This window comes from Homo sapiens, chromosome 13, assembly GCF_000001405.40.
Source record: "Homo sapiens chromosome 13, GRCh38.p14 Primary Assembly".
Classification (NCBI taxonomy): Eukaryota; Metazoa; Chordata; class Mammalia; order Primates; family Hominidae; genus Homo; species Homo sapiens.
In genome coordinates, this window is record NC_000013.11 from 45,162,602 (window position 1) to 45,187,846 (window position 25,245).

Below are 25,245 nucleotides of genomic sequence, written 5' to 3' on the forward strand. Positions count from 1 at the left end.
AGTGGCCAGAAAGAGATTTGTAAAAGCAGTGTTTGCACTCTTCATATTCAGGTATTCATGCATAAATATGTGGTAGCTTTAATAATCTGAGGTTGGGATGAGGAGGATTAAAAGAAACCGCAGTGTAGGATAATATTAAGGTTTGGAATCACAAACTTATTAAAACTTATGATTTACTCTCCAGTTTTTAATTGTGAAATATTTCAAACCTACAGAAAAGTATAGTGAATAGTTTAACCTATGCCTAACAGCTGTATTTCATAAGTGTTGACATTTGCCATATTTCTTTAAAGCTAGAAAACATTTTAGATTTCTCCCCACCCCCCACCCCCTAACCCTTACCTCACTTGCTAGAGGTAACTGTTGTCCTGGAGTTGGCGTGTATTATTGTGACTCATTATGACTAGTCTGCAATTCTCAAAACAAAATCTTTATAGTTTAACTGGTGGAAACTAACCAAGTTCCTTGGAGATGTGTTAGGCAATGTGCTCCAAATTTCTAACAATTGTGGAAGTCCAGTGTTTAGCTTGAGTAGAGATTTTTTTGTGTCATACCTGGAGAAAATGACAGGCTATACAAACATATTTCTCTTCTTCCTTTTGATTTTCTGTAGCTTCCAGTTTATAAAGTCGGTTCTTTGTTTTGATTCATTGTATACTTAAGATCTTAGGAAGAACTTGGTTTCTTTGTAAAACCAAACCTAACTTAGTAAAATCAATTAAAATGTAAATTACTTCAGCGTGGGCAACATGGTGATTCCCCATCTCTACTAAAAATAAAAAAAATTAGCCAGGCATGGTGGCGCACGCTTGTAGCACCAGCTGTTCTGGAGGCTGAGGCAGGAGAATTGCTTGAACCCAGGAGGCGGAGGTTGCAGTGAGCCGAGATAGCGCCACTGCACTCCAGCCTGGGCGACAGAGTGAGACTCTGTCTCAAAAAAAAAGAAAAAAAGTAAATTACTTAGTCGCGGTATTAAAACTAAGTAATTGAAACAATTGTAATTTTAAAATACTTTAATTTTAAAAATTTCATTTCCTTTGGCTTTTTCAAATAACATTGCCACTATTTTTAAAAACCTCATTCAAGGTTATAGTAGCATGATTTTTTCTCTAGTTCTTTGAGCATAAGGGTACCATTATCAAAATTTAAAGTGTAAAAAATGCCATGTAACTGATTTTTCCCTCTGCAGTATAGCATTACATTATAAAAACAGAGACAGGTTATTTGGTTGCCTTTGTATTTTTATCACTTAGAAATGTAGTCTATTGAGGGCTGGATGTGGTGGCTCACGCCTGTAATCTCAGCACTTTGGGAGGCCAAGGTGGGCAGATCACTTAAGGCCAGGAGTTTGAGATCAGCCTGGCTGACCTGACGAAACCCCGTCTCTACTGAAAATACAAAAATTAGCCAAGTGTGGTGGTGCGCATCTATAATCCCAGCTCCTCAGCACACATCTGTAATTCCAGCCAGGAGTTCAAGACCAGCCCGGCCAACTTGGCGAAACCCCGTCTCTACTAAAAATACAAAAATTAGTCCAGCGTGGTGGCAGACACCTGTAATCTCAGCTACTTGGGAGGCTGAGGCACGAGAATCACTTGAACCCAGGAAGTGGAGGTTGCAGCGAGCCAGGATTGTGCTACTGCACTCCAGCCTGGGCAACACAGTGAGACAGTCTCAAAAAAAAAAAAAGAGAAAGGTAGTCTGTTGATATGGTGATGGCACTAGTATAGTAATTCCCTTGGAACAAAGAAGAAAAGAAGGTAAGACTTTAAAACTGACCTATTTTTTTAAAAAGCAATAAAACATGTCGATTTACTGAAGGTTTTCAAGTAAAGAAGTAGCAGCCCTAGTGGCCAGGTAGTGGCTCATGCCTGTAACCCCAGCACTTTGGGAGGCCAGGGTGAGTGGACTGCTTGAGCCCAGAAGTTAGAGACCAGCCTGGACAAAAGAGTGAAACCCTATCTCCACAAAAGATAGCTGGGTATGGTGGCATGCACCTGTAGTCTCAGCTATTTTGGAGGCTCAGGTGGGAGGATCACCTGTGCCTGGGATGTTGAGGCTACAGTGAGTACAGTGATTGTGCCACTGCACTCCAGTGTCAGTGACAGAGTGAGACCCTGTCTGGAAAAAAAAAATAGTAGTTCCTTCTCCCTCAGCATTACTAGTGTCACTTTTGGGGTACCCAGTGCTGGTAAAAAGGCTATACAACAAAAAGTTGCATCACAGCAGAATGGGAAGGGTTACCAAAAAATGGATTAGAGACCTACACTTGAACTGTGTTCTTGATTACGTTGGTTCTGATACAAAGTGCCTAGAACCATTTTACATTCTCATAACTATTTGTTTGGAAGAATTGAAGGAAGTTTTAATTATGGCATATAGATACACAATGTTTACATCTTTATTAAGCAATGATCTTGTTACGCTATAGCTGCTATAGCTGTTTTATTAAGCGGACAGATATAGGTAACCTGTTGAGCACTTATTTTATTTGCTATGATGAGCACTTACACAGTGTGGATGCAGAATCAATTTGTGAGGTACTAGGCAACATTAAGAAATAAAGAGAAATAGAATGGAAAAAATATATATAGATATCTATATATTCATATATATGTGGAATAGAATGGAAAAAACGGAGAAATAGAATGGAAAAAATGTATATTTATATATAATATATACCCATTATCCATTAGATTTATATCTAAAATATATATATATATATATATATTTTTTTTTTCTTTGAGACAAAGTCTTGCTCTATCGCCCAGGCTAGAGTATAGTAGCACAATCTCAGCTTAATTTAATTCTTTAAGTTCAAATTTAAAGATTCATATACAGTAAAGAGAAAAATGAAGTATAAAATTGAAGTGTGACCGATTTCTCAGCTGTATATTAGTAGAGAAGATTTACTTGTAGGATTTTTCATCAGGAAAGAAAATAAACCTTTCTTTCCACTGCCCTCGCCCCCCCCCGCCGCCCGCTTTTAACCTTTTCATTCTGGAAAATTTCAAAACATATGCAAAAGTAGAGAAATAGTACAGTGAACTTCCATATACCTATCATTCATCTTCCTGTGAAGATGGCAAATAGTCATTCTTGTTTCAGCTATACCCCAGTCACTGCCTTTGTGTACCTCACAGGATTATTTTAAAGAAAACCTCAGAGAGCATATCATTCCATCCTTAAATTCTTCAGTACATTCTTTTTTTTTTTTTTTTTTTTTTTTGAGACGGAGTTTCAATCTTCTTACCCAGGCTGGAGTGCAGTGGTGTGATCTCGGCCTACTGCAACCTCTGTCTCCCAGGTTCAAGTGATTCTCCTGTCTCAGCCTCCCGAGTAGCTGGGATTACAGGCGCCCGCCCCTACGCCTGGCTAATTTTTGTATTTTTAGTAGAGACGGGGTTTCACCATGTTGGCCAGGCTTGTCTCCAACTCCTGACCTCAGGTGATCTGCCAGCATCAGCCTCTCAAAGTGCTGGGATTACAGGCGTGAGCCACCACACCCAGCTACTTCAGTACATTCTTCATACAAATTCCTTTTTAGAAAAATACATAACCATAAGGTCATTATGATACCTAAAAAAATTAACAATTCCAAAATATCATGGTAGATCTAGTCACTGGGAACTATGTGATGCTTAAATTTCAGTGTTTTCTGATATTTTTTCCCTTTTAAATACATTCTGTTTTCTGGTTTATGGTCCAACTCTATCAGAAGTCACCATGGATTGCAGTTATATAGGTTATAGCATCCCCTGGTGAAGATGCACTTCGTCAAGTCATTCATGTTACTATGAAGACATGATGCAGTCTTTCTGCAGAACTGTTTGAGGGATTTGGCTGATAAGGAAATGACAGAATAGAAAATTATTTCTGGAATAGTACTGAGGTACTGATGTCAAACTGGAGCCAGTGTTAGGGAAAGTACGAAAGCTGTGTTCACTGAGCTTCATATGGATTGTTTTCAGATTGCATCAAGTTAAAGTTAACAAGCAGATGAGTTTAGAAAGAAAATCTTGTCAATCCACTATGACCAGACTTTAGGGAATAGGGGGCTTTAAAATAAAAGTCAAAGTAAAATAGAAGTAGGTGGTATGAGAATTCGTATGATGAATGGAATAAAAAATGTTATTTAATGTAATAGAGTGAATATGAATAGGGACTATATTGGTATATCCCAGTAGGGACATTATATACAACTTGTATACAAGCCTCAATTTAGAGTATGAATTTCTTCCCTGGAATATTGATAAATAATTGAGAAACCAATTTTGTCTTGAGTTTAAAATCTCTTGAAAGTTAGGTCCATTTATATATCTTTAATACAAAACTGACTAATTAAACATGTTTAAGTTCTGAAAGAAAACCTTATTCTTATATGTTCCTACCAGCCGTTAGACAGCTGTGGCCTGCCCAGAAGCGAAACTCTGGTAGTGGCCAGCACACTTTGAAAGACTGCTCTGTTTAAAAAGAAATGCAGTTGAAGTCTTTTTTTTTTTTTTTTAAAGAACTTCGTGTATGTGTATCAGCCCACAAATTCTTGCTTATACAGACTGTATCATTAGCTATTTCAAAATAATAAAGGGTAAAAAGCCCTACAGACACATACTATACATACTATTTTACTATTTTTTTTTTTTTTTTTTTAAAGATGGAGTCTCGCTCTGTTGCCCAGGCTGGAGTGCAGTGTTGCAGTCTCGGCTCACTGCAACCCCCGCCTCCCTGCCTCAGCCTCCCAAATAAATGTTACTTCAGACTCCTGCCACCACACCCAGCTAATTTCACCCAGCTATTTTTTTTTTTTTTTTTTTTGAGATAGAGCCTTGCTGTGTCACCAGGCTGGAGTGCAGTGGTGCTATCTCAGCTCACTGCAACCTCCGCCTCCCAGGTTCAAGTGATTCTCCTGCCTTAGCCTCCCAAGTAGCTGGGACTACAGGTGCGCACCACCACACCCAGCTAATTTTTTTGTATTTTTAGTAGAGATGGGGTTCTACCATGTTGGCCAGGATGGTCTTGATCTCTTGACGTCGTGATCTGCCCGCCTGGGCCTCCCAAAAGTGCTGGGATTACAGGCGTGAGCCACCGTGCCCGGCCCCCCAGCTGATTTTTGTGTTTTAAGTAGCAATAGGCTTTCACCATGTTGGCCAGGCTGGTTTCAAACTCCTGACCTCAAGTGATCCTCCCACCTCAGGCCTCCCAAACCTCCCAAGTGCTGGAATTACAGGCATGAGCCACCACGCCCAGCCTCACTTGTTTCCCCCCAGTCTAAAAGAACCTTTCTTGAGAATATTTTATGGTTGAAAGTTGTGGCATTTTCTGTTGATAGAGGGAAAAAAAAGTACACCACCCAGTGTTGTTTACAGCTTCAGTTTCTTTTATATAGCTATGCAGAACTTAATGACTATGATGATTTGACACATTTTTTTCCTTACTGTATAATGTGTTATGTGTCAGACTTTTCTTGAGAGAAAGATCTGTACCGTTTAGCAAAGAAAAAAGTCTGGTTTAGAGCACTTCTCAACCCCTTTTCTGCTGCTTCTAGGTGAAGGCTGATGTGTCTTTACATTCACAAGTTTGGGACAGACTCCTATAGATTAGGGGCTGTGGCATAGATGCCCCAGGTGCTGTCAGTGTTCGCCCATAGCCTCTCAAGGCCTTGCCGTTACTGTGCACACTAGCCAACTTTTACATCTCGGCACCTTTGTCTGCCTGAGAGCTTCTCTTGCTGCCAACTACTCTGCCTGCCTGGAGGGCAGGCCAGAAATGCCAGGATTTTAACACTCACTTTGGGAGTGGCGTTCAGCCAATATCTGCCAGGAGTTGTTAGTTGATAAACACCCAGCTCCTTTAATCCTCAGGTAGGGTGACTAAGGCACATATTAAGCAACAGTTGTCCTTAGTAGTATCCAGCTGGTACTGGTTTTCTACACTAATCATTTTATAGGCTCATTTCTTCTTCCTCATTTTTCCAACCCTCAGTGTTTTCTGACAAATAAACTACCTGAACTTTATTTATTTATTTTTTTGAGACAGGTTTTCACTCTGTCACCCAGGCTGTAGTGCAGTGCCCCGATCTCGGTTCATGGCACCCCCTACCTCTGGGGCTCTAGTGATTTCCCCACCTCAGCCTCCTGAGTAGCTGGAGCTGCAAGTGTGTGCCACCACACCTGGCTGGCTTCCTTCCTTCCTTCCTTCCTTCCTTCCTTCCTTCCTTCCTTCCTTCCCTCCCTCTTTCCTTCCCTCCCTCTTTCCTTCCCTCCTTGCTTCTCTCCCTCCTTCCCTCCCTCCCTCCCTCCCTCCCTCCTCCTTCCTTCCCTCCCTCCCTCCTTCCCTCCTTCCTTCTTTCCCTCTTTCCCTCCTTACCTCCTTCCCTCCTTCCTCCCTCCTTCCCTCTTTCCCTCCTTCCCTCCTTCCTTGGTTTCACCCCGTTGCCCAGGCTGGGATTTCTCCATGTTGGCCAGGTTGGTTTCGAACTCCTGACCTCAAGTGATCCGATCGCCTCGGCCTCCCAAAGTTCTGGGATTACAGGCGTGAGCCACTGTGCCCGCCCCTGCTCCAAATTCATAGGTTGAAGTCCTAAACCCAGGTACCTCAGAATGTGACTGTATTTGGAGATAAGACCTGTAAAGAGGCGATGAATTTAAAAAGAGGCAGTGGCAATTGACTGGTGTCCTTATAAGAAAAGGAAATTTGGACACTCAGGAGAGACTGGGGTTGCACATGCACAGAGGAATGACCATGTGAGGAGGCCACAATTGAGTGGCCATCTGCAAGCCCAGGAGCTGAGCCTTAGAAGAAGCCAAAGTTGTAGGCACCTCGATCTTGGACTTCAGCCCCCAGTACTATGAGAAAATACCTTCCTGTTGCTTAAGCCACCCAGTCTGTGGAAATTTGTTATGGCAGCCCCAGCAAACTAATGCAGTGTGATTTAATACTTGTGATTTAGTTTTTTGAACTAAGAAGTCTAGTTGAGGATTTTTAGAAAAATTGATTTTCTTCTTGTGTTTTGCTTTTTTGTTACTAAAATTTTAATTGAAACATAACCTACATTTAAGAAAACAGCACAAATCATAAGTTTATACTGTTGATTTCTCACAAAGTGAACACATCCCTGTAACCACCACTCAGGTAACAAAAGAACATCGTCAGCTATGCTTTGATTTTTGAATCCATGGATCCAGTATCAAATTTTCTAGACTAATTTTTTTTACATGTCTTCAGTAACTTATTCCCTTTTAAATATAGATTACTATTTTTTAACCTTCAAGCATAAGTTTACATGGACACAACCAGTATTGTTTAGAAATGTTGCAATATTAGAAATATTAAGCTTCTTAAGAACTAGGTTTTTAACACAAACCAGAGAGTTATAGTTCCAACATTTATTTTATTTTATTTGATTTTTAATAAGAGACTGGTTATTTATTTATTTATTTAGAGACAAGGTCTTGCTCTGTCACCCAGGCTGGACTGCAGTGCTATGATCTCAGTTCACTGCAACCTCTAACTTCTGGGCTCAAGCGATCTTCCCACCCCAGCCTCCCAAATAGCTGGGACTACAGGCATATACCACCACACCCAGCTAATTTTTTAAAATGTTTTTTGTAGAGACAGGGTCTCATTTTCTTGCCCAGGCTGGTCTCAGACCCCCCCTGCCTTGGCCTGCCAAAGTGTTGGGATTATAGGTGTGAGCCACTGTGCCCAGCTGAGACTGGTTATCTTTGTAACACGCATAGTCTGGTAAATTTATCATTACATGGGCTCCAATTAATTTTTCTTTCTCCCACTTAACATCTTTTAAAATTTTTTTCTGACAAGGCTTAGAAGCAAATAAAAGCTTTTGTGGAAAGTGAATGTCAGTTGAGTCAGTGATGCAGGTAATTTATTTGAATTACTTTTCATGAGTTTTGCAGTCTTGAAATCATCTCCAACAAATGACTTTTTTTTCAGCTAGTGAGGTACTCTGTACACAGAATATTTTCCCCTTGAAACTGTCTTTCTGAGTAAATTATATTCTAATGGAAAGGTTCTGTGGCTTTGAAGTAGTTATTCCTGAAAGCTGGAAAATATAGAGAATCTGCATACAAGAAAGACTAGGGGCTGCAGTCAGAGAAAGGATCAGAGGTGGTATCTGAGAGAACCATCATGAGATCAGAAGAATGGTCCCTGGAGGAATTGGAGAAGTCTAGATGCAAGAGAAGGGTTGGAATGAAAAGGATGTGGCTTCCAACTGACTGAGGGGAGATTGTAATGAAAGCCCAGTGAAGGTAGTAGCAGTGTGATCTGTCATACTGGGAGGGTAGCAGAGAGAGTGGAGGAAGATCATGGTGGTCAGTCAGAATGGTAACAGACAGTTGGCTCAGGCAGCAGCAGAAATTAAATAGGCAGCAATTTAGTAGAGAGAAAGCAACGTTGCTTGCATGAGGTGACATAGCCGTGAAAATGCTACTGCCTAAAACCCTATCTTTTTTTTTTTTTTTTTTTTTTTTTTGAGACAGAGTCTTGGTCTGTCACCCAGACTGCAGTGCAGTAATTCGATCTTGGCTCACTGCAACCTCCGCCTCCCAGGTTCAAGCGATTCTCCTGCCTCAACCTCCTGAGTAGCTGGGACTACAGGTGCATGCCACCAGGCCCAGCTAACTTTTCTGTTTTTTAGTAGAGATGGAGTTTCGCCATGTCGGCCAGGCTGATCTCGAATTGGTGATCCGCCCACCTTGGCCTCCCAAAGTGCTGGGATTACAGTCATGAGCTGCAGCACCCAGCCTAAAACCATATCTTGACTTTAATTCAACTTTAAAAGAAACAGGTTTAAGTAATTTGAGGGTTCTGCATGGTGTTGCCAAGCATTCTGATACCATTTTGTACCTTTGCAATGAGTAAGAAGGATCCCTATTGAAACACTTTAGAGTTTTCTTTCTATCTGAAGTTAGGAAGGAAGTAAACCTAATATTATTTAGTGGTATTTTAAATGAAAAGGAGTATTTACATTATATTGCCTTTTAAAAAATTACAGCTTTATTGAGATGAAAATTCTCATACCATACAATTCACCCATTTAAAGTGTACAAGTGAATGGTTTTAGTACATCCATCACCACAGGTTTAGATTTTCATCATCTCAAAAGAAACCCACACCTATTTGTAGTCACCTGTTATTCTCACCCCAACCTCCCACGCCATAGTCTACTTTCTGGTTCTATAGATTTATCCATTCTGGACAGTTTATATAAATGGAATCCTAAAATACTTGGTCTTTTGTGACCTTTTTTTTTTTTTTTACTTAGCATGATGTTTCCAGGGCTCATTCATGTTGTAGCATTTATCAGTACTTAATTCTGCTTTATTGCTAGACAGTATTCCATCATCTGAATATTTCATGGTTTATCCATTCATCAGTTGATGGACATTTAGATTGTTTCCGTTTTTTTGGCTATTGTGAATGATGCTGCTATGAATATTTGTGTACAAGTTTTTGTGGGAACTTAAGTTTTTATTTCTCTTGTATATATACCTAGGAGTGGAATGTAGTGTGTGAGGGTTCCAATTTCACCACATCCCCACCAACACTTGTTATTGTCTGTCCCTTTGATTATAGCCAACCAAGTGGATGGGTGTGCAGTGGCATTTCATTGTGATTTTCATTTGTGTTTCCCTGTGGTTTTGACTTGTATTTCTCTGATAGCTGATGATTGATGTTGAATATCTTTTCATGTGCTTGTTAGCCATTTGTGTATCTCATTTGGACAAATACCTATTCCAGACCCTTTGCCTATTGTTAAACTAGGTTGTTTATCTTTTTATTATTGAGTTGTAAGAGTTCAATATATATATACACAAATCCCTTATTCAGAGATATGATTTGCAAATATTTTCTCCCACTCTGTAGGTTGTCTTTTTTACTTTTCTGATGGTATTCGTTGGAGTACAGAACTTTTAATTTTGATATAATCTAATGTCTCTTTTTTATTTTTATCATCTTAGCTCTTTGATTTAGGTTCTGATCCATTTTGAGTTAATTTTGTATATGGTATGAAATAGGAAGCCAACTTTAATTCTTTTCCATGCAGCTATCCAGTTTTTCCAGCACTGTTTGTTGAAAAGGCTATTTTTTCCCCATTGAATTCTCTTGGCACCTTTGTTGAAAATTAGTTGATCAGGAGTTGTTTATGGACTCTCAGTTCTATTCCATTGCTCAATGTATCTATCCTCATGCCAGTACCACACAGTCTTGATGACTGTAGCTTTGTAGTAAGTTTTGAAATTGGGAAGCGTGAACCCTCCAACCCTCCACCTTTCTTTTTTTTTCATGATTGTTGATTGTTGACCTATTCTGAGTCCCTCAAGTTTGCATATGAATTTTAAGATCAGTTCCTTAATTTTTGCAAAAAGTAAAAAGTCCAGCTGGGATTTTGGTAGGGATCATATTGAATCTATACATCAATTTGAAGAGTATTGCCATCTTAACAGTATTATTTGGTGGACAGCATTACAAAATATGCAATGTAGAGACACATAGATATAGAAAAAAGTGTACAGAGAGAAAAAATATGTTCTATTTTTCTAATTAAGTTTTTTATTTTGAGGTAATTGTAGATTCACATGTAGTTGTAAAAAATAATACCGAGAGATTGGATGTACCCTTTACTCAGTTTTCCTCAGTGGTAATATTGCAATTCATGGTACTATACAAACCACTGACATTGATATTGACATTGATATAGTCCACTGGTCCCATTCAGATTTCCCTAGTTTTACTTGTACTTAACTGTGTGTGTGTGTGTGTGTGTGTGTGTATTGTTTAGTTTCATGCAGTTTTGTCACGTGTGGTTTCATATACCCATCACCACACTCAAGATGCAGAACAGTTCCATCACCACAAGAATCCCTCAGGTTACCCTTTGTAACCGTGCCACCTTCCTCCTAACCACCCCCACTTCCCACCTCTTTCCCCAACCCTGTCTTAACCCCCAGAAATGACTGATCTGTTCTGCATTTTTATAACTTTGTCATTTTTTTTTTTTTTTTTTTTTTTGAGATGGAGTCTTGCTCTGTTACCCAGGCTGGAATGCAGTGGCATGATCTTGGCTCACTGCAAGCTCCGCCTCCCAGGTTCACACCATTCTCCTGCCTCAGCCCCCCGAGTAGCTGGGACTACAGGCGCCCGCTACCACGCCCAGCTAATTTTTTGTATTTTTAGTAGAGATGGGGTTTCACGGTGTTAGCCAGGATGGTCTCGATCTCCTGACCTCGTGATCCACCTGCCTCAGCCTCCCAAAGTGCTGGGATTACAGGCGTGAGTCACCGCGCCCGGCCAACTTTGTCACTTTTTAAAAGTGTCGTATAACTGTTATGTAAACAAGTACTATATAAATGCTTTTTTCACTCAGCATAAATTCTCTAGAGATTCATCCAAGGTTTTATGTGAATCACTAGCTGATTCCTTTCTATTGCTGAGTATTCCATGGTATGGATGTACCACAGTACATCTAACTAGCCTCTCATTGAAGAATGTCTGGGTTGTTCCCAGATTTTGGCTACTACAAATAAAGCTGTTGTGAACATTTGTGTATAGATCTTTGTGTGAGTGCAGGTTTTCATTTCTTTGGGATTAATGCCCAAGAGTGCATTTGCTGGGTAATATGGTAATTGCAAGTTAAATTTAATACATAACCACAAAACTTTTCCAGAGAAGCTATTTTTAAAAGTATAGATAATTTTTTTAAAACTTGAAAATGTGACCACTGCCACATACAGAAAAGATGTATTAACATGAAACAGCTGAAATAGAACATGTTCAGCCCCTCAAAAGCTGCCAGGTATCCCTCCTTGATCACAGCTCACTTCTTCATCCACAGAGAAAACCATCATTGACATTAATGATAGTAACTTTTTCTTTTATAATTTTAGCATTTAAGCCTTTATTCCTCAGTAATATATTTTACTTTGCCTGTTTTTTAGTGTTATATGAATAGAATGAATATGCACCATTTTTTTGGTATGAGTTTTTCATGGAGCACTGTTTTCTTTTTTCTTTTTTTTTTTTTTTTTTTTTAGAAATAATAGTTTTATTACTTACAGGTCCTGGATACATGACATACCTGGAAGCCATACACAGAGGTCAGGGAGGACTTCAGAGGGAAGGAGAGGGAGAAAGATCCACAGGTTAATGCCTTCATTGAGGTCTAGGGCCTTATCCAAACAGGTTTCTCACTGGGAGATTTTTCTTTAACACTCAATAATTGTATACATTTATGGTACAGTATGATTTTGGTACATATGTACAATGTATAAGGAGCAAATCAGAGTTGTTAGCATATCTGTCACCTCAAACATTTATCATTTCTCTGTGTTGGGAATATTAAAAATCTTACAGCTCTTTGAAAATATGCACTAAATTATTGTTAACTATAGTCACCTTGCAGTGTAATAGAACAGTAGAACTTATTTCTCCTATATAGCTGTAATTTTGCATCTGTTAGCCAGTCCCTCCTTATCATGCCTCACACTTTCCAGCCTCTAGTAATCACTATTCTATCTCCTTCTGTGAAATCAACTGTTTTAGCTTTCATGTATGAGTGAGAACATATGATATTTGTCTTTCTATGCCTGGCTTATTTCACTAACATAATTACCTCTAGGCTCATACATGTTGCCTTGTTTGACAGGATTTCATTGGTTTTTGTGGCTGAATAGTATTCCATTGTGTATATATACCACATTTTCTTTATTCATTCATCTGTTGGACGTGTAAGTTGATTCCATATCTTGGCTATTGTGAATAGTGCTGCAATAAACATAGGAGTGCAGACATCTCTTCAACATACTGATTTCCTTTCTCTTGGATATACACCCAGTAGTGGAATTGCTGGATCATATGGTTGTTCTGTTTTTTAGTGTTCTTTTTTATATATGTTTTATGTCCTGTAAAACATTTTTGTTATTATCTTAAACAGCATCAGTATCTGTATCCAAATATGTGTGTACTCTTCAGTTCTCTTCCTTCTTGGATTTGCCTGATTCTTTTTCTCTTTTTTTTGAGATGAAGGTTCGCTCTTTTTGCCCAGGCTGAAGTGCAATGGCACTATCTCGGCTCACTGCAACCTCTGCCTCCCGGGTTCAGGTGATTCTCCTGCCTCAGCCTCCCGAGTAGCTGGGATTACAGGCATGCGCCGCTACACCTGGCTAATTGTGTGTGTTTTTAGTAGAGATGGGGTTTCTCTGTGTTGGTCGGGCTGGTCTCGAACTCCCGACATCAGGTAATCCGCCCGCCTCGGCCTCCCAAAGTGTTGGATTACAGGCATGAGCCACTGCACCTGGCCCATTTGCCAAATTCTATCGGGTAACATTTTGTTTTTGCCTGAATTATTCCTGTTAGTATAGATTTTATTACAGTTGTCATGGAGTACTGTTTTCTAAGACTGATCCACGTTGTATATAGCAGTAGTTCATTCCATTTCTTTGTTGCATTCCAGAGTATTTGTTTACTGCAGTTTACTCATTTTTACTGTTAGTGAATATTTATGTTGTTTATAATTTTTAGCTTATTAACAATACTGCTATAATTTCTAAGTGTGGACTTTGGTCACAGGATACATATATCTTCAATTCTGGTTGATAAGGCCCAACTGTTTTCCAAAGAAGCCATCTTAGTTTATCTTCCCATCAGTAGTGTATGTAAGTTCTTTTTGTTTTAACTCCTCTCTAATGATATTATATTTATAAAAAAATCTTAACTGTTATGGTGAATTTGTAGTGATTTCTCACTGTGGTTTGATTTGACATCCGTCTCTTTTTTAAATGAAGTTACCCTTGTGTTTATTTTACATTTGAATTTATTTTGAGAGATGCTTGTTTAGATTTCTTGTCCATTTTTTATGAGTTGTCTTTTTCTTTTTGAGTTGTAGTTCTTTATATATTCTGGGTATAGCCCTTAGTTATGTGGTTTTAAAATAACTTTTATTCAGTGGCTTGCCTTTTTACTCTCTTAAAGGTATTTTTTGATGAACAGAAGTTATCTTTAATAGTCCAGTTTGTCAGTCTTGTCTTTGTGGCTTGTGCTTTTGTGTCTCTTTAAGAAATTGAGATCATAAAGTTATTTTCCTCTGTCATCTTCCATAAGCTTTTTTGTATTGTCTTTCTTCACATTTGCATCTGTGGTTTAACTGGAATTGTTTTTTCTTTTTCTTTTCTTCTTTTTTTTTGGGGGGGACGGTCTCGCTCCACCCAGGCTGGAGTGCAGTGGTGCAGTCTTGGCTCACTGCAACCTCTGTCTCCCAGGTTCAAGCGATTCTACTGCCTCAGCCTCCCGAGTAGCCGGGATTATAGGTGCCCGCCACCATGCGTAGCTAATTTTTTTTTGTATTTTTAGTAGAGATGGGGTTTCACCATGTTGGTCATGCTGGTTTTGAACTCCTGGCCTCAAGTGATCCACCCACCTCAGCCTTTCAAGGTGCTAGGATTACAGGCGTGAGCCACTGCGCCCAGCCTGGAATTGTTTTTTCTGTAGGTGTGAGATAGGGGTCAAATTGTATTTTTCTTCCATATGAATGAGAATGATGTATTTTTTTTTAATAAAGACCATCTTTTTCTCACTGTTCTACAATACCAGCTTTGCCATAAATCAACTATTTACTGAAGTACAGGTCTGCTTTTAGGCTCACTCTCTTCTCCAGTGGTTGATATCATCTAGCCTTATTTTGGTAGCAAAGTTATACAGTTGCGTCCCCTTACCACCTCCCATCTGCAGTTTCAGTTACCCGTGGTCCACTGAGGTCCAAAAAATATTAAATGGAAAATTCCAGAAATAATACCAAAGTTTTAAACTGTACATTGTTCTGGGTAGAATGATGAACTCTCGGGCCATCTTAGTTCATTCTGCCTGGGATGTGAATCCTCCCTTTGTCCAGCATACCCATGCTGTATATGCTACCTGCCCATGAGTCACTTAGTAACTGTCTTGGTTATCAGACAGACTGTCTTAATATCACTGTGTATGTGTTCAAATGACCCTTATTTTACTTAATAATGGCCCCAAAGTATGAGAGTAGTGATGCTGGCAATTCAGATATGCCAAAGAGAAACCTTAAAGTGCCTCCTCTAAATGAAAAAGTAAGAGTTCCTAACTTAATAAGGAAAGGAAAATATATGTTGAGGTTGCTAAGATCTACGGTAAAAATGAATCTTTCATTCGTAAAATTGTGAAGAAGGAAAAAGTCCACAGTCTTGCTTTTCTGTGGAGTATTCTACTGTTAGTTTTATTGCTGAAAGAGTCCACAGTCTTGTTTTTTCTGTGGAGAATTCTGTTAGTTTTATTGCTGATGCTTTAAGGGTAATGTCTTTTTATTTCCTGTGAGTATATACAAATTTTTTTGATTATCTTTGATTTTAATGTGATATGTCTACATGTGGGTTTCTCTTTAAGCAGCCTGGGATTCATTGAGCTTCTTGTGTCTGTTGATTGCTGTCTTCCTTCATTTGTAGAAAACTTTCTGACACCTGCCCTTTAAATGTTACTTCTATTTTTTTTCTCTCCTCCTGAGATTCTGATGAAACAAATATTTTAAACATAGGGCCAACAGTTTCTTTGTATCTTCTGTGTCTCTGTAATGATTTTTCTGCCCCTTTTCTGCTTGTGCTACACTCTGGAAAATTTATTTTTCCTATATACCAACTCACTAATGGTTTCTTCACTTGTGTCTAGTCTGATATTAAACTTGTCCAGTGAGGTTTAAATTATGCTTCTTATTTTTTATTTCTAGATGTCTTATGTGGTTCTTTTTTGAATCTGTGACAATTTTCCCTGTAGGTATTTCTGAGTTTGTCTTTTTTTTTTTTTTTAATCACAGTCCAGTTGTTTTATAGTGTGTATCTGAGAATTCCAATCTCTGAAGTCTTTTAGAGTCCCTTTATGTTGATGCTTTTACTGGTACTTAGTCAAGGAATCTAGTTTCAAAGCTTCGTGTTTGGCATTATATTTATTTATAGGAATAACATGACTTTCTTTAAATTTTTTTCTTTTTTTCTTTTTCTCCTCAAATTCCGTTTACCAAACATGTGACTTTAAATGAAAGTTATGTACCTACTCTCACCCAAGCACTACAGACCACTACCAGTTTTGATCCACTGTTTCAGTAATTTATAACAAATCACCACCAAACTGGGGCCTTAAAACAACAATGATGTCATATTTCCATGAATCTGTGAGTTGGCTGGATTAAGCTGGGGGCTCTACTGTTCACATGATGTTGACTGGAGTTACTCATGCATCTGCATTCAGCTGGGGGGTTGGCTAGGGTGCAGTGTCCAGGACTGCTTCACTTATTGCCTGAGAGTTGGTGCATGTGGGTTGGGGTACCTTTGCTCTGTCCTTTGTGGTTTCTCTTTAGTGCTCTCGTCATTTAGTAGGTCTAGCCCATGCTTCTTTACATGGTGGCTGTTTTCCAAGAAAGCAAAAGCAAAAGCTGCTAAGTCTCTTAAGGACTGGGCTTGGAACTGGTGCAGCATCACTTCAGCTGCATCTGTTGGTCACAGCAAGTCACAGGACCTGCTCAGATTCAAAGCAAGGGAAAATAAAATAGACCCCACCTCTTGATGAAACTAGCGGTGTGCAAGTACAGGGAAGAAAGGGATTGTTTTCAGTCATCTTCAGAGATAGTCTACCATTATCACATTAAACCATGCTCAAGGCTTGAGATTTCTTTGATGGGGTATCCAGGGATTGAAATTAGGTGATCATTACAGTGACCATGTAGCTTACCTGGTTACAAGGTGGAATCTTTTTGAGAGTAAAAAGGAGCACTATTTTTAAGCATGCCAATACTTGGGGTGTAACTAGACTGTCTGTGGCAAACTAGGACTCTGGGTCACCCTAGTTAGTTTATCAGGAGCTTTTAAAATTTCCTTCTTATCACTGCCCTGAAGGTATATAGTCCTTTGGGATTTTAATTTTTTGTGGAAATGAACTCCTGTTAGACTTTCTACCTTGTATAGGCACTGGACTTTGATTTATGTCCCTCATGCCTTGGGAGGCTGTCTAAACAAAGAGTCTCATTTTCCTTGTATTGGCTCATGACCACAGGGAATCTCATTTTCCCCATATTTGGGGCTTGTAATTTCTTATTATCTTGTGGTCTTTTTGATACTTTAAGATTTTATTAAGCTTTTTAATTGTTTTTCAGAGGGAGATTTTATCTAAATTAAGTTAGCCCACCATTATAGAGAATATAGACCAGCATAGTTAATTTACTCGAAATAACAGATGAAAAAGAACTGAAGGAATTTCTTAACATCAAATAAATGCCTCTTTTTCACAAGAAATACAAGTTCCCAAGAGTTTCTTTTAAGTTGGGAGGTGGGGGTGTAGATGTGGGTGAAGAATTAAAGAATTGGAGTCATTATATTATCTTTTTTAAAAACTCCATGTTTTTCACTTTTTGACAATCTATCAATTCTCTGTTACGAAAATTTTGAAAATTATAATCCTCAAAATAACGTCTCATTTTTACTTAGTTGTGTTATCACTTCATCAAGGCTGTAAAGACTAACATTCCACAACTAATTTCCCTGCTGTTTAACCTTAGTATAAATTATAAATAAGTTTGTACTTTCTTCTTGGCTTTTGATCATGTCATCTTATTCTTGAATTATTTATTTTTATTCTGTATTGTCTAGATTTCACAGTTACATCTCTTTTCTTAAAAAACACTCATAGGTGAGCTTTAAAAATATACGTAGTTTCTTTTCAGGTCCATTATAGAATTTTAGTCTATACTATAGACTCATGCGTATTTTGTGTCTGTTTTAGTTAGACAGTTATAATTTTGTCATTTTTTTCCGTATGTGTGTGTATGTATGTGTAATATATCTTCCTCAAAGCAAAGTTTTGGCTGGTCAGCAAATGTTTAAATGAGTATTTTTGTGGTAATTATAAACTCTGATCTAATTTGGTCCATACTGCTTGTGTAAGGAAAAGATTGCTCATTTTGTTTTTTCAAGTTTTGTGTGTTTGTAGCCAAATGAATTGTACTTTTATTTCTACATGTTTATTATACTTCATGTCAGTCATCTAAGTTACCTTACTTTGTTGCTTTAATAAATTTTTATCCAATAAAAATTTATTTAATTAATTTTTTATTGTGTCCTAATGTTTTCTTTAGAAGGGTGTAGTGACTTGAAGAAAGCATGGATTTTTCTTTAAAAGAAGTATATTTTTGTATTGGTAAATTGCTGGTCTCTGATGTGGTCTTTGTCATATGTAGTCATCAAAAAACGAAAGTGATCTGGGCGTGGTGGGTCACGCCTATAATCCCAGCACTTTGGGAGACCAAAGCAGGAGGATCACTTGAGCCCAGGAGTTCGAGACCAGCCTGCCAGCACAGTGAAACCCCGTCTCTACCAAAAAATACAGCAATTAGCCAGGCATAGTGGTACGTGCCGGTAGTGTAGTTCCAGCTATTCAGGAGGCTGAGGCAGGAAAATTGCCTGAACCCAGGAGGTGGAGGTTGCAGTGAGCCAAGATCACACCACTACACTCCAGCCTGGGCAACAGAGTGAGACCCTGTCTCAAAAGACAAAAAAACAAACAAACAAAAAAAAAAAAAACCAGAAAAACCAAAGGTGATATCCAGATATCATGGCATCAATTCCCTTCATATACCTCCCTCTCTTCTTCTTCTTGCTGGCTACCTTAAAAAAGGAAAGGGTCATACTTTTCAACTAGTGGCACCTTGAAATATATTTTATTTTTCACAGTAGATTTAAGGAGTCATTGCTTTTGCTGTAAAATAATGAGTCAGAGTAAAAGAGCTTAGTCAATAGAGATCCTTTAAGGAATCCTTAAATGAATAACCAAGAACATTTTAAGCATGTCAATTACTTGTATATGAACATTTCTCTCTGATGTTCTTAAAGACAATTATTAGGTTTTAAACAACAGCAACTTTACATTTTATGTTATAAAGCTGTATAATACAAAAACAATTAGTATGTATTTAGAAGTAAATATAAAATAAATCTATTAACCTGTGGATGAGTCAGTATTGCTTTTAAGTGATCTTCATATTTCGGCTATATAAGCCAAAAAAACTTACTTAGTATTATTGTCTTTGGGTCACTTTTGAAAGCTAGAGGGAAAGTTTAGGTTGAGAAAATGTCTCATCCAAAAGCATTGTCTTTTGGGTTGCTTTTCATCTGTTTTTTAATTTTTAAAAAACTTTGTGAGCTTGAGCACATTGTGTTAGCTTAAGTGTACAAAAAGCTAGCGGTAGCTTTTCTTGATGCTTCTATTGATATGGTATTGGGGAGAATGCCTAATTGTTTGAATAGTCTACCACAAGCTTATTAATTTAGAAAACTAGAGAGAATAATGCTAGCTCCTTAGGTAACAAATGGCCGCCCTGCTGGCTGAAGCTTTAGACTCCTCCCTCTCTCTGGAGGTAGCTCCTTATGTAGCCCCTTCTTCTTCATACCCTGCCATTTCTAAGAATTTGACCATGTCTCTCTTCCAGCTTCCACCAGTTTAGTTTTTTAGACTACATTTCACTTTCCTAGTGTTGTTTATTTGTTTGTTGAGACAGTCTCGCTCTGTTGCCCAGGCTGGAGTACAGTGGTGCAATCTCGGCTTACTGCAGCCTCTGCCTCCCGGGCTCAAGCAATTCTCCTGCCCCAGCCTCCTGAGTAGCTGGGATTACAGACGCCCACTGCTACGCCCGGCTAACTTTTGTTACCTCAGGTGATCCACCTGCCTCGGCCTCCCAAAGTGCTGGGATTACAGGTATGAATCACTGCACCCGGCCACTTTCCCAATGTTCTTACTTCACTCCTTCCCAGATGACTCTAAAATAGCGTTCAAGATGCTTTGTGATCTTAAGTGTTTTTTAAAATTGCTTGGTACTGTGGGGAAACAGAATTATGCCTTTCTCTCTCTATGTTTATACTCTTCCTCCATCTCCAGAGCAGGGCAGTACAAGAGTTTACTATATCTCAAAAATCTGTGAAGTTGTTGCTTTGCTTACTTGATGTAAAAATAGTCTCCCTCCTCCGATTTGCTTAAAGGTAGTCTACTTTTTTCTTAGATGGTCCCATGGAAGAATTTTTAGTTCATTTTTAGAAATCATTTTGCTGATTGTTCACTATTGGTAGCTATTCTTCAGGTTTAATTTGTTAATAATTCTGTACATGAATGAGGAAAATAGGCCTAGCTCACAGAGGCTTCTTTCCTGGTTATCCCTCACGTGCCAGTCCCCCTTTTTCTTTCTGTGGTTGAGGCCCCACAAGTCTCAGAAATGGATTCTCTGTACTAGTTTTTTCTTGTAGCACACTCGTCAGGCAGGCTGGGTTCCCTTTTGGTTAACTGTGGCTTCTTCCATTATTTTAACTAGGTCTTGGCCTAGACTAATGAATGAGTGGAGGCACCCCCTTCCTTCAGTATTATTTTGCCCATTTTCAAGGTTCATGTCCTTTGTCAAGTAAGTCTCTTACTGAGTTCCAGGATCTGGTCCGAAGGCATTATCACATAGTGGTTAAGAGCTTGGCACTTTGAAGGTTGCTTGGTTGCTGTGTGACTGCAGGCAAATTGCTTAACTCTGGGGATCCCTGTTTCTTCATCTATAAAATAATAGTGTTAATACTACCTACCTCTATCTGTTAGAATTAACTCCGCTAGCAAAGTATCAGTGACTTAAGCACATTGTTTTCCCTTGTAAGGGAAGTTCCTAGGTAAGAAGTCCTTGTGTGCTATGGCATTTCCAAGGTCATCAGCAGGCCTTTGCCATTGTTTAACTGTGGCTTCCATCCTCAGGGGGATCCAGAATGACTGCTGGAGTTACTACTGTCATATCTACCTCTCAGGCATCAAAAGGGAAGCAAGACGGGGAAGGTAAAGGGACTTTTTAATTCTTTGCAGGAGCATATCCAGAAGTCACTTTGCTTACATTCCACTAGTCAGAACTTGATAACTTGGCCACACTTTGCAGCCATAGAACACTGGGAAATGCAGGTTTAATTTGGGTGTAGTTGCTACCCTTAATTAGGGTTCCATTTCTGACAAAGAAGGGAATGGATACAGGAGAAGTAACTATCAATATCTGCCCCATCACCTCATGAGATCATTATGTGTTGTGCGCTTTAAAGCAGACAGTGCATGTCAATACTTAGTACTGTGCCTGATACAAAGTAATACCTCATCAAATGCCAGACATTTTTATGATCTCCTGTGTTAAAGGATCAGATTGTCTGCATTTACCACTTCTTTTTTCTTTTTTTTTCTTTTTTGAGACAGAGTCTTTCTTGGTCACCCAGGCTAGGGTACAGTGGCACGATCTTGGCTCACAGCAACCTCTTCCTCCCGGGCTCAAGCAGTTGTCCTGCCTCAGCCTCCTGAGTAACTGGGATTACAAGTGTGCACTACCAACCCTGGCTAATTATTGTATTTTTTTTAGAAGAGACAGGATTTCACCATGTTGGCCAGGCTGGTCTTGAACTCCCGACAAGTGATCTGCCCGCCTCAACCTCCCAAAGTGAGCGACTGCACCTGGCCTCTTATTCTTTTGGCTCATTCACATACTTTCCCAGAAGAGTGATTTCTTATAATACTGTAATACCTGAAACTTGTTTCTGTATGGAAACAACCATAGATGATTTCTTCGCAGGAAAGAGGTAGATAGGGTGTGGCTGTTCCCTTGTTGGGGAACTGTTAGTTTCTGTAGAAGAGGTTTTAGCCTTTTACTTCATTAGTAATTTTTAACATGGGTGGCGTTGATTGGTGAAGTCTTTTTTAACTTTATTCCCCCCCGCCCTTTTTTTTTGAGACAGGGTCTTGCTCTGTCACCCAGGCTGGAGTGCAGTGGCATGATCCTACCTCACTGCAGCCTCGAACTCTTGGGCTCAAGCAATCTTCCCACTTCGACCTCCCCAAGTGCTGGGATTACCATGTGAGCCACTGTAGCTAGCCTTTTTTCCCTTTAATTGTGAAATCCTCACCTGCTTTTCTTTTCCACTGCCTTGAGCCAAAACACCACTGTTTGATGCATATTCATTTTTAAAAAGATAAAGTGAATTAAGATTCTACCTCAACTTTTCTTTTATTACATCCTTTAGTTAAATGGAAAGTCTTCGGAAAGTTAGGAAAGATTTTACTTAGGGTGCCTTTTGCTTCACTAAACACCTGAGTGTTAACTGCCAAATTTGTATATATTTTATACAAGCACAAGGTTGTTATTTTCTTTGTTTTTGACAGGGTCTCGCTCTGTTGCCCAGGCAGGAAGTGCAGTGGCATAGTCATGGCTTACTGCAGCCAATCTCCTGTGCTCAAGCGATCTTCCCACCTCCGCCTCCTGAGTAGCTGGAACTATAGGTGTGGGCCACCACGCCCAACTGTTTTTGTGTGTGTGTGTGTATTTTTTGTGGAGACAGGGTTTTGCCATGTTGCCTAGGCTGGTCTTGAACTCCTGGGCTCAAGTGATCCTCCATCCTTGGCCTTTGAAAGTGCCTGGATTATAGGTGCGACACCCCGCTTAGCCCATTATTTTCTACATACCTGTCACCTAGTGAATTTTATAGTATACCTAAAAATGTTGTATTCTGTAACAGCAAGAAATATATTTGAAGCTCCTTTTTCTTCTGTCTTATTAAGGACAATCTGCCTGATATCCAGATAATCCAAATTTTCCTTAAGACACAAAGAAAGAGCAGAGGGAAATATAACTGGGAACCAAAATGTATTTTAATATAGCCTGCTTCCACTTTTCAAGGTAGCTGAATTTTATGTTCTAAATCTCAATGTGTTAGATTTTGGCTGTGTTGTAACACCAACTTATAATATGTTGTAAACTTATACATATTGTAAGCACATGTAGACTTACACATGTTGTAAATGCCTGCGGTTGTGTTTGGTTTTAGTTTTCGTTTTGTTGTTTTATAAATCTATCACCCACAACCTTTAGCTATTGTACAACATGGTGAATATACCCAGTAACAATGTATTATATACTTTTAAGTGTTCTTACCACAAAACTAAGTATATAAGGTAATATATATGTTAATTAGTTTGATTAGCCACTCCATAATATATGCATATTCCAGAACATGTTGTATACCATAAATGTATACAAATTTTATCAATTAAAGATTGTTTTTTAAGAAAGAAAATGCACTAAATCATTTATGACTTTTAGATTCTTCTGTTTGGTGTCTCTCTCCAGTTATCTCACCTTTATTAGTAATTATTTCCATACACAGCTATGCACAGTCTTTCTTTTTTCTTTCTAGATGGATTTCTCTTAAAATATCTTTGCGTAGATAGAAAAAAATATGTAAAAATCAAAATAGTTTTGTTAGGATATAGGATTATGGTATCTTCATTCATATTTTTAACATGGTTTTTTTTTTTCTTGAGGCAGAATCTCATTCTGTAGCCCAGGCTGGAGTGCAGTGGCACGATCTCGGCTCACTGCAACCTCTGCCTCCTGGGTTCAAACGATTCTTGTGCCTCAGCCTCCCGAGTAGCTGGGATTACAGGCATGCGCCACCATGCCCAGCTAAGTTTTATATTTTTAGTAGAGATGGGGTTTTGCCATGTTGCCCTGGCTGGTCTTGAACTCCTGACCTCAAGTGACCTGCCCACCTTGGCCTCCCAAAGTGCTGAGATTACAGGCGTGAGCCCCGGCACCTGGCCTATTTTTTTTTTTTTTTAATTTTAATTTTTTTTTTGAGACAGAGTCTGGCCCCGTCACCCAAACTGGAGTGTAATAGCTCGATCTCTGCTCACTTCAACCTCCACCTCCTAGGTTCAAATGATTCTCCTGCCTCAGCCTCCCAAGTAGCTGGGATTTCAGGCGTCCACCACCACACCCTGCTAATTTTTTGTATTTTTAGTAGAGACGGGGTTTCATCATGTTGGCCAAGCTGGTCTCGAACTCCTGACCTGGTGATTCACCCGCCTCAGCCTCCCAAAGTGCTGGGATTACAGGTGTGAGCCACCGCACCCAGCCGCCTGGCCGCCCAGCCTATTTTTAGTGTTTTAAAAATAAATAAAAATTTATCAAATGCTATGATACCTAATGTAAATGATAATTGGTCTAATTCTTTGTAAAATAACAGTAAGTGATAGAAGATAAATCAAGTCAAAATTAGTATCACTCAACATTTTTTAAGAACCTTAAAAATAGTTAATAAATACCTGTTTTAACGAGGCAAAAATCAGTGGGTTGCAAATTAAGAATTAGTAGACTTCCTCAATTTTATACTTTAATAATGTCAAAACATATGTGCTAAACATCCTAAAGGACAATAATCAAAATTACTTTTGAAAAGTTGAGCCTGTTTTTAAAAAGGAATTTTCAAAAATTAACTAGTTTTTAAAATAAAATTACTATTAAAACTTGCTTTTAAATGCAACTGAATATTCTGGAATTATGGTTTTGGAAAAACCTGTCATGGTTTTAGGTTAAATGTGTTATATTTTATAATATGGAGTAGGTTTTAAAAACATTTACAAAGGGATACGTTGGCAAGGTGTGGTGACTCACACTTGTAATCCCAGCACTTTGGGAGACCAAGGCAGGAGGATTGCTTGAGCCCAGGAGTTTGAGACCAGCCTGGGCAACAAAGTGAGACTCCATCTCTATGAAAGTATATATTTTTTTAAATTTATATTTTAAAAATTTAAAAGGGGTATGTTTTAATTGTCTCATTTTTAAATATCCAATTCAGTATCTTTTCTAAAATAACTGGTGGTTGAAATAAAACTAGAATTTGTGTATTTTATTATACAATGCTTAATGTACATTTCTGCATTGTTAGAAAAGTTTTATTAAATATAGGTCATTTATAACAACTTATATGTGTTCATGATTTTTGTTTGCTAGAAAATATTGAACCATTATGTATTTTTTAAGAGAAGAAGTAGAAATACAGTCCACCTCTTCATAAATTTTTTTAGCCATATTTTAGATTCATCTTAAATATTTCTCTCTGTCCAGCCTATTTTCCTTTACCGCCACTCCCTTGGTGTTTGTTGACAGAAACAAATTAATTGTAATATTATCTTAAGCAAAATATGATTAGGACGATAAGTCGGCTACAGAAGAAGCCATTGTATATTTTAAAGCTAAATACAAATGATTTCTAAGTTGCATGCTGTTTTGGATAGTCCTCCATATTACATCTTTGTTTTGTTAGCAAGGATAATTATGATTCAGATGCTGTAATTTTAACCTTGACTAACATGCATTGCTGTTTAAAATAT

At 38.6% G+C, this 25,245-nt stretch overlaps 1 protein-coding gene across 3 annotated transcripts in view, besides 1 other annotated feature; it reads left to right on the plus strand.

The window, feature by feature from the left end:
• Positions 1-25,245, plus strand: part of GTF2F2 (general transcription factor IIF subunit 2) — a 164,384-nt gene that overhangs the window by 42,092 nt on the left and 97,047 nt on the right. The window contains exons 5-6 of one of the 3 annotated variants that reach the window (XM_011535053.4): positions 20,800-20,877; positions 22,633-23,401. The exons of 1 other annotated variant lie outside the window; for it this stretch is intronic. In XM_011535053.4, the coding sequence (XP_011533355.1) occupies positions 20,800-20,877; positions 22,633-22,646 (92 nt within the window). In that variant the 3' untranslated portion in view covers positions 22,647-23,401. Of the gene's footprint in view, positions 1-20,799; positions 20,878-22,632; positions 23,402-25,245 lie in introns of those variants that run through there. One more of the 3 variants, XM_011535052.4, reaches the window with a different exon arrangement.
• Positions 22,256-22,355: a silencer, noted in NCBI's record as "silent region_5311". NCBI's record gives its function as "represses an Ori minimal core promoter by ATAC-STARR-seq in GM12878 lymphoblastoid cells {active_cell/tissue: GM12878}" and the evidence as "EXISTENCE:reporter gene assay evidence [ECO:0000049][PMID:35858748]".